Source organism: Homo sapiens, chromosome 16 (assembly GCF_000001405.40).
Source record: "Homo sapiens chromosome 16, GRCh38.p14 Primary Assembly".
NCBI lineage: Eukaryota > Metazoa > Chordata > Mammalia > Primates > Hominidae > Homo > Homo sapiens.
The window spans coordinates 62502917-62512907 of NC_000016.10; the positions used below are offsets into that span (position 1 = coordinate 62502917).

A 9991-nucleotide genomic window follows, 5' to 3' on the forward strand; every position below is an offset into this window, starting at 1 on the left:
GAAAAGCTAGAAGAAAGGATTTTGAATGTTCACAACACAAAGTTATAAATGTTTGAGGTGATGGACATGCTAATTATCCCAATTTGATCATTACGCATTGTATGCATGTATCAAAATATCATTCTGTATTTCATAACTATGTACAATCCTTACATGGCAACTAAAAGTAAAAGGCGAAAAATGTGGTGAATCAATCTTTAGCATTTTTTTCTTGTCCAAAAACCAGTATTAGATTACCAAACCAGTCAAGTAAACATGCTTAGTACATCAAAAAAGCAGGTGAAAGATATATCCAGAAAGTTGACAGAAGCCTATTAACCCATCATATTTTATTCATGACACTGCTGTTTAAACTGCATAGCAACATCATCTGGGAAGCCGAGAACCCCCAAGAGAAAGTGTGGAGTTCCACTCCAGGTCAGGAAAAAGATATAATCCAATAGAAAACCACTTTGAGAATTCTTCTTTCACATTTTCTTACGTTGTCTTATTAAGGTACCCTAGCTGTAGAAAACTGACTATCCTAGGTGTGGGAGGGATTAGATAATTAGTCATTGGAATTTTCTGTGTTGTACTCATAACCTACAGGGTAAAAAGGGCATAGAAAGAAAATTACTTATAGGGAGCACAGATAAAACCATTATGCATTGACTTTGAAAGAATTATAATACAATCAGAGCTAACAGATAATTATAGTACCATTAAGCTAATGAGTTAATTACTATATTAATTGGCAGGTTAATGGGACTCCAATATGGAATTTTAAAGTCTGCACTTAAATTTCAGAGAAATAATATGTTACATTAAGAATTTTCTCCAGATAACGTATCTGTACAAAAATACAATTTGTTTTCCCCACGGAGAATTCCTGATTGAATTTTGATTCCCCTTTGATCAGTATGTTGGAAACACTTAAATAAGAAAGCATAATAGACAACAATATGTCATAATTACAAATAATTTTTAGTAAGTAAACATGGGATTTGAGATATAACATCACATGTGTTTTAACTTGATTTTTGTTTATCAAAACATAATTTAAGTAAAGGTGTCATTTGTCTCTTTTTGATATTTGTTGCCTTTTGCATTTCTTTTGAAGACAAATCACATTCAGCTCAGCATGGGACAAGTCATTCCAACATGCATTATATTTGTTCTCCTCCTTCCAGCTGGTTTACAGAGAATGCAAACTTGTATAAATAAATTCTGGGCTAACAATGTTGGAAGTATGATTAGTTAGAAAAATTATAGGCTCTGTAGTTTCAGAATCAAAATTTTATATTTCAATTTAATTAGAAATATTTCATTTTCATAATTTCCAGGTAGATATTTTCAGAATTGAATTAAGTTGTAGGACACCAGCTACTGTTGCAAAATTGATTAGTATAGGGAAATAACCCCTATACATTTGATGTCCTATGCCTTTTGTGAATGGAGATATTTCATAGTACCATTATCACCAAAAATTTATATGTTGCAACCCTAATTCTAATGCAGCAGTATTTGGACATGGAGTTTTTGGGATCTAATTTGTTCATGAGGATGGGACCCTCATAAATGGGATTAGCAGTTTTCTAAGGAGAGGACAGAGAGATAGCTAGCTTTCTTTCTGCCATGTGAGAATAGAATGAGAAGCTGGCTGTCGGCAAATCAGGAAGTGGGCACTCACCAGATACTAGTTCTACTAGCACCTTGATCTTGAAGTTCTTAGACTTTACAGTCTTCAGAATTGTGAGAAATAGATGTACTCTGTTTAAGTTACGCAGTCTATAGCACTTTGTTACAGCAGCCTAAACTGACTAAGACAGAAATTGCTACTGAGCCATGGGGTTCTACTGCAACAAATACCTAAAAATGTGGAAGTGGCTTTGGGACTAGGAATGGATAGAGACTGGAAGAGTTTTGAAATAAATGATAGAAGAAGCTGAGATTGTCATGAAGGGAATTTTAAAAGCAATTCTGAAAAGGGCTCAGAAACGGAAGAGAGATCTGTAGGAAAAGCTCTGTGTTTGTAGAGAATACAGAAATAGTCCTGCACAGAATGCTGGTAGAAATGTGGACAGTGAAGGCCATTCTGATGAGGTTTCAGACAGAAATGAGGAGCATACTATTAATGAAGGAAAGGTGATCCTTGTTATAATGTGGCACATAACTTGTCTGAATTGCATTTGTCTTCTAGTGCTGTGGCAGGTAGAACTTGCCAGCAGAAAAATTGTATATTTATCTTAAGAACATTCTAAGCAAAGTGTTTTCGGAGCAGCTCGGTTCCTCCTGGCTGATTAGGGTAAAATGCAAGGAGAGAGAAATGATTTGAATTTGGAATTATTAAGCAAAAGAAATCAGAACTTAACAATTTAGACATTTATCAGCCTGTCTGTATTGGCAAAAGTCAGAAAACATGTTTGAAAGAGAACACTAAGGCCGTGACCAAGCAACAGTTTGACAAGGAGTTTAGTGTGGATGTGAACTATGGACTTAGATTATCCGCTATCCCAGCAGGAACACTGCTAGTTTGAACTAAAGGGGAAGGAGACTGGGAAAAATCAAGGAAGGTTTTTGAGGTTTTTGTACTTACTTGATTTATAGAGCAGGACCATAGAGCTATTCAACTGAGGACATGTTCTATTCTGCAAAGCAATGGAAGAATAACCTTGAGGATAATTCAGAAATTATCTGGCCTGACTTTTGGGTTTCAATAGCAGGGAGGGTGAAATTGCCTTGCTTTCAGCAGGCTAGGTAACCTCTGCCTAAAGCCAGGAGGGAGGTGCTAACCAAAACTGTGGGGCTTAAGCCCTGCCTGACAGAACATGAGAAACAGGACCCCTACCAAGCTGAGCTGTGGGTATGGGGCCACTTCTCCAGTGAGTGTGGAAGGTGGGATCAGAAGCACCTTCTCCAGTAGTCCTGGAGAGCTGAGAATGCAACCAAAGGGGTTTATTCTCAAGCCTTACCATCTTGTGGAGTTTGCCCTTCTAGATTTGGAACTTGCTTGGTACCCATTACATCCTCTTTCTTCCTTATTTTTCCCTTTTGAAATGGAAATGTCTATCCTATGCCTATCCCACCATTGTATGAGGAAGTACATAGTTGTTTGGTTTTACAGTTGATACTGTGAAATATACAGTTCATCTTCAACACTCCTTCCTGGCATACAACTCCTAAAATTATTAGAGACTCCAAAGTGATGTCCTGGGGGTCATGTGCCCTGGGAGGGGAAGGAATCTCCACACCCTTCTCATATGCCTTGCCCTATGCATCTCTTTATCTGTATCCTTTGAAATATTCTTTACAATAGACTAGTAAATGTATTTTCCCGAGTTCTGTGAACTGCTCCAGCAAATTAATAAAATTTAAAGAGGGGATTGTGAGAACTCCAACTTGAAGTTGGTCAGTCAGAATTTCTGGAGGCCCTGGGCCGGGCGCGGTGGCTCACGCCTGTAATCCCAGCACTTTGGGAGGCCGAGGTGGGCGGACAACGAGGTCAGGAGATCGAGACCATCCTGGCTAACACGGTGAAACCCTGTCTCCACTAAAAATACAAAAAATTAGCCAGCATGGTGGCAGGCGCCTGTAGTCCCTGCTACTCGGGAGGCTGAGGCAGGAGAATGGCGTGAACCTGGGAGGCGGAGCTTGCAGTGAGCCGAGATCGTGCCACTGCACTCCCACTTGGGCAACAGAGCAAGACTCCATCTCACAAAAAAAAAAAAAAAAAAGGAATTTCTGGATGTCCTGGTTTTTGGTGGGGGTATTTTGGGTTCTGAGCTCCAAACTTTTGGGATCTGACGCTATCTCCAGGTAGATAGTGGCAGAATTGAATTGAAGAGCACCCAGTCAATGTCTGCTGCAGAATTGATTGCTCACTTGGTGGTGGGGAGAACACTTCAACCCCTACATTTCATCACAGAATTCTTCTGTGTTAATGATTGTCGTATTGACTGAAAGAATAGAAAAGACAGGATTTCCCCCTCCCCGACCCCCAAGCATACAGATTCACAGCTGGAAAGGAATTCTGCATCAGGATAAATTGTACTTCTAGTCTCAGTCATACCTGATTTAGGTATTTAAAGGAGATTTTTCACTTAGACTTTAGAGTTTATGGTGGGATAAGCTAAGACTTTGGGGGCTTTTTGAATAGAATAGATTTTGCATGTGAGAAGAATATGAATTTTGTGAGGCCAGAAGCAGAAGACAATGGAGTAAATTTTTTTTTCCTGAAATTCATATGTTGAAACCCTGATCCCAATATGATGGCATTTGGAGGTGGGGCCTTTGGGAAATAAGAGTGGAGTTCTCATGAATGGGATTATAAAAAGAGACCCGAGGGCTAGCAAACTCTCTTTCCACCATGTGAGGATACAACGAGAAATTGATTGTCTGCAAACCAGGAAGTGTGCCTTCAACAGACACTGGATCTACTGGCACCTTGACTTTAGACTTCTGATAAAATAATAATTGCTAACACTTTTCTAAGTTCTGTGAGTCATCTTAGTGAATTATTGAAATTGAATATGGATTGTGGAAACCCCTGAATTTGTAGCTGTCCTAGGTGAGAGAACTTCAGAAGAAGTAGATTAAACATAAATCCTGAAGCTATGACCAAATTGCATGCATGTGTTTTTTTTTACACTTGATTTCAATGTTATTTATAATTTTACACATTTTTTTCAGCTCACAACTCAACAATTGTCCTTTTAATAATCATGCTAACTCAAGATTAAATGTAACAACTGACTCTCAGTTTAAAGCATCTCAAAAATTTCACTGTCCTCTTACAATACTTTTTTCCCCAAGATACCACAGTGCTTTAGAAATACTAGTGATTTCTCAAAGCATGTCTTGACTGGTGACTTTATTCCAAGTTTTACAAAGGTAAAATTAGAGAAAAATCTGTAATTACTCTAATATTCACACTTAAAGTGTGAAATAGCTGCTGGAAGACTCAAGAAAAGAGCATTGTTTAGATAGCGTAAGCTAGGCAAAACACAGAACACAAGAGAGCATTTTATGGCCTGAAATTTTGTAAATTACCCTTTCTGTAAAAAGGCATCATTACAAGATGCAAAGTATCTGTTTACCTATTTTATCTGTACCCCAAAGATGCTGTTGCATGGTATCTGAAAAGAGATTGGCAAAGTTGTGATGCCCCACAAGCCGCAAAACCAGCAAGTTTTTATTAGTGATTTTCAAAGGGGAGGGAGTGTATGAATAGGGTGTGGGTTATAGAGATCAAGTGCTTCACAAGGTAATAGAATATCACAAGGCAAATGGAGGCAGGGCGAGATCACAGGACCACAGGACAGGGCGAAATTAAAATTGCTAATGAAGTTTCGGGCATGCATTGTCATTGATAACATCTTATCAGGAGACAGGGTTTGTGAGCAGACAACCGGTCTGACCAAAAATTTATTAGGCAGGAATTTTCTCATCCTAATAAGCCTGGGAGTGCCATGGGAGACTGGGGCTTATTTCATCTCTACAGCTCGACCATAAAAGACGGTCACACTCAAGGGGACCATTTTAGAAGCCCACCCTCAGGGACGCATTCTCTTTCTCAGGGATGTTCCTTGCTGAGAAAAAGAATTCAGCGATATTTCTCCCATTTGCTTTTGAAAAAAGAGAAATATGGCTCTGTTCCACCCGGGTCACTGGCGGTCAGAGTTTAAGGTTATCTCTCTTGTTCCCTGAACATTGCTGTTATCCTGTTCTTTTTTCAAGGTGCCCAGATTTCATATTGTTCAAACACACATGCTCTACAATTTGTGCAGTTAACGCAATCATCACAGTGTCCTGAGGCGACATACATCCTCCTCAGCTTATGACATGACAGGATAAAGAGATTAAAGTAAAGACAGGCATAGGAAATCACAAGGGTATTGATTGGGGAAGTGATAAGTGTCCATGAAATCTTCACAATTTATGTTTAGAGACTGCAGTAAAGACAGGCATAAGAAATTATAAAAGTATTAATTTGGGGTACTAATAAATGTCCATGAAATCTTCACAATCCACGTTCTTCTGCCATGGCTTCAGCCAGTCCCTCCGTTCAGGGTCCCTGACTTCCCGCAACAAGAAAGAAAGGGAAAAAGGAAAGAAAGGAAGTCAAGCAAGAAGAAAGAAAAGAAAAGAAGGAGAAAAAATAACAGCAACTTGATTTAATAAGACACAATGGTTGGTGGACTTCAAGAACAATTGTATGGAGAAAAGTAAAAGCTTTCTAACTCTTTTAACACAAAAGAGTAGTATCTCAAGGCTTTTAGTTGGTAGAAAGTTTAGACTTACTGCCCTGATGCTCTTAATCATAAATTAAACTCTTTGAAAATTGCAAAAAAGTACAAGAAGAAAGCAACTGCTTAATATGATTAGGAGTGATCTGTCACTGGAACTACTCAAGTAACAGTTAAGACTACTCACATATGCATTAGGGTATACATGGAAACAGGTGTTGCAGAGGTGTCTTGTAAGAATTTTTAGGTTGAACATCATTGAAACACAAAACAATTCAGTGTTTAAGAAATATAAGAGGTAATCATCTCACTAAAAGTAGTTTTAATTAATGAAAATCTTGGACTCTCCATGAATGTTTCATGATTTCTTAATTGTAAAAGAGGAGTTAGAAAGTGTCTGATGCAGATATATAAGTTCACATTTCTAAAATACTTATTTATATTTGTACCCAGAACATATCATTATAGTCAAAAGAACCCAAAATGTGAAGAATCTAAAAGAAACATTGTTCCAAGAGGAAGATCAAGATGGCAGAGGAAGACCACCTCAAGAGAAATGAATGCATGCAGAGGAAAGAGACTACGCGGAGGAACGTGAGAAGATGAGTGCATTTAGCATGAAACCTATAACATCTGACCTTTCACCAAGATCATAGCCCAACTCATAGCTGCATGTTTAATTGGATCACTTAACGTCAGTGTAGACACATCAGTAGAGTGTCTTGGAATGGCCTTTTTTCTCACATCCAAGTCAGGAAGTTAATAGCCCAAAGAGATGACATAATAGCAGAAATTTAGATTCCATGTGAATATTCTCTAATTATAACAAAATAATTAGGCTATGTACCAATCCCTTTTCATCTGCCTTTATCAGTGTTGCCTCAAAAAGAAAGCAGTGAATGCCCTCTCCAAAGTTACTTAGCTTGAGAACCTCCACCTTCTTAGAGGTCCTCTAGTGATAAGTAGAAGATGGACTTTCAGGTCCAAAGTGGTGTGATCAAAGTGCGACCCTTCCAACTGAACAACTGAGTGACAGTCAGCAAGTTCCTTTACCATCTTAGCCATAACGTATTCATCTGCAAAGTGGGATAATACCTTCTGTAAGAGCAAATGAGGAAAAATACATTTAGTTGCTGTGTGGCTGAGTAGAAGCCTCCCAAAACGGAGCAAAATTATGGATTTTATTTCTCTCCAGAGCCTGTGGACCTGAAGCCTTACTGACTCAGAAACTTTATCCTACAAGTGAATCAGTGTGGATGGATTTAGTATTTCAAACTCAAAAAAAAAAAGATGCTCAGAAGAGATGAATATGTGGAACTGAATATCTGTGCTTTTATATATACTGTGACATATAATTGCCTAGAAAATTAAATACTTTTCCTAATAATGGCAAACTTATTTTAAGAAACAAAATTATGACCAGAAGGGGGTTCAGTGGATTAGAAATTAGGGGCAGGAAGAAGATATGTTATATGTTCCTGTTCTCATGTTTCATGACAACTGGGTAAGAAAACCCAATTCAGCTGCTTCTGCAAAAAAATTGCCTTGAAATAGAACTAAAATATTTGCATTGCATTGTCCAAGACCCTGTCTTTGAATATGTACTGTGTACCTTGATATCCTTGATTATTTATTATTTGCTCCCTTCCTAAGCAACTATCCTCTGATTAACAGTTTTTATTTAATAAAGGATGCTAGGTGTTAATTTAAGAAGTGAAATTTGAAATAAAGCAGACGTGTTACACTCTGGCTCTGCTAACTACAAATTTATCACATTGAAAAAATGATTTACCAATTGGTATTTGAGTTTCTTGTATGTAAAATGTTTTTAATAACCATGCCTGATTCATTGGTTTGTTTTTTTTTTTGGAATAAGGAAAATAGTGTGGTTCTCTATTTTGGTTCTATTGTTGTTCCCACTTTATAGATTAGTAAACTCAGGTTTACAGAAGTTAAATGACGTAGCCGATACTAAAACACTGCTAAATACATGATTCAGGAATCAAACACAAATGTAGTGACCTGACAACTCAACTGCTTAACCACAGTTCCATACAGGAAGCTGGCAGGCTACCATATCCAGCCTTTTAAAGTGGCAAATGAGCTTGATTGCATAAACTCTTCTGAAATCTGCTCACCATACATAGTAAGGGATATAGTGAAGAAAATGTCCCCTATTTGGCGTCTTCCTCAGTGCTAGACACCCACTTTTTTTTCTGTTGGTTCCTTGGGTTTTTATGTTAAACTCCCTTGTTTTAACTACCTTTGTTCTGCTAACATTTTGTGGCCATTATTAGGAAAAGCTCTTTCCTATTTATAATAAGAGGAAACCATGTAATTGTTATGTTCATGTTAGGTGTAAATAAACTCCATTTTGCTTAGATTAATGGTAACATGAGTGTCTTCAACTTTCCCCTAATTCCCTCACACTTTCCTTTCCCTCAAATTCTCCCTGATCATCTCTGCTCTGTAGCCCCCCAGTGTGTTCCTCAAGAGGTCCCAATGGTATGTGTAAAACGTGTGCATATGACAGGTAGTAACTGCCAAAAACCTATGTGTGCAATTGCAATTCACATAAACCAATCCACCTGCAATCCAATTCAACTTGCCTGCCTTTCTTCCTAGCCCTAGGTGTAATTTTGTTTCTGTGGTTGGCTTATGTATTAGTCTGTTTTGCGTTGCTAGAAAGGATTACCTGAAGCTGGGTGGTTTATAAGGAAAAGAGATTTATTTAGCTCAGGGTTCTGTAGGCTGTGCAAGAAGCATGGCACTGGCATCTGCTTCTGGTGAGGGTCTCAGGGAGCTTCCAATCATGGTTGAAGCGGAGTTGACATCACAAGGTCAGAGAAAGGAAGCAAGAGAGAGGAAGAAAAGTGGGGGGGGGAAGTGCCAGGCTCTTTTTAACGAATCAGATCTCATGGGAACTAATAGAGCAAGAAGTCACTCCTTATTACCACGAGGACAGCACCAAGATGTTCATCAGAGATCTGCCCCTATGACCCAAACACCTTCCACCAGGCCCCACTTCCAACACTGGGAATCAAATTTCTACGTGAGATTTGGAAGGAATAGATAGCCAAACTATATCAGCTTGTTTCCTTTTTTGCCTTGGACCCCACTTGTGGAGAAACCTCTTCAATTCAGATACTTTTCTGCTGGGTACTAATAAAGGTTTGTGTATTACATCCAGTGTCTGCCATGTCATCAGTTCAGTGATCCAATAAATTTCTGGGAGCATCACCACCAAATCTCTTAGTCCATTAAAAATATTGTTTAATTAGTATCTTCTAATTTTTGAATGTCATTCCCCTTTCAAAAGGCTTTATGAAGACACCAAATCTAAAATAAATTCAAGCGCACTGCTATCACCCCAAAAACTACCTAAAATTCAACACCTCATTGACTTTCTTCTTTCCCCAGAAATCCCTCTTTTTCTCATATTTTTGTTGAAGCTGCAAAGCTCTTTCTTATCAAACATACATTTTATTCATTTATTTATCAATTTCTGATCACCAATTATGCAAGGTTACCAGAGGACAAAAAGATTAAAACATTGGTAACTTTAGTTACCATTGCTTCCTTTTCTTTTGCAGCTTGGAAATCTAATTAGATGGAAGCCATCAACTTTCCATGCTTTATCTTTTCTTACTAACATTTGTCTTATGTTTTTTGTTTGTTTGTCTTTAATTTGTATTGTTACCCAAGTTCAGGACTCTATTTTTTTACTTTATGGATATTTCAGTAGCTTCTACTTCATTTCCATAATA

The 9991-nt window shown here is 38.0% G+C and overlaps 1 annotated feature.

Moving 5' to 3' along the window:
• Nucleotides 5045-5591: an enhancer, noted in NCBI's record as "OCT4-NANOG hESC enhancer chr16:62541865-62542411 (GRCh37/hg19 assembly coordinates)". NCBI's record gives its function as "activates a minimal SCP1, AML or CMV promoter by ChIP-STARR-seq in primed H9 embryonic stem cells {active_cell/tissue: H9 hESC(primed)}" and the evidence as "EXISTENCE:reporter gene assay evidence [ECO:0000049][PMID:30033119]".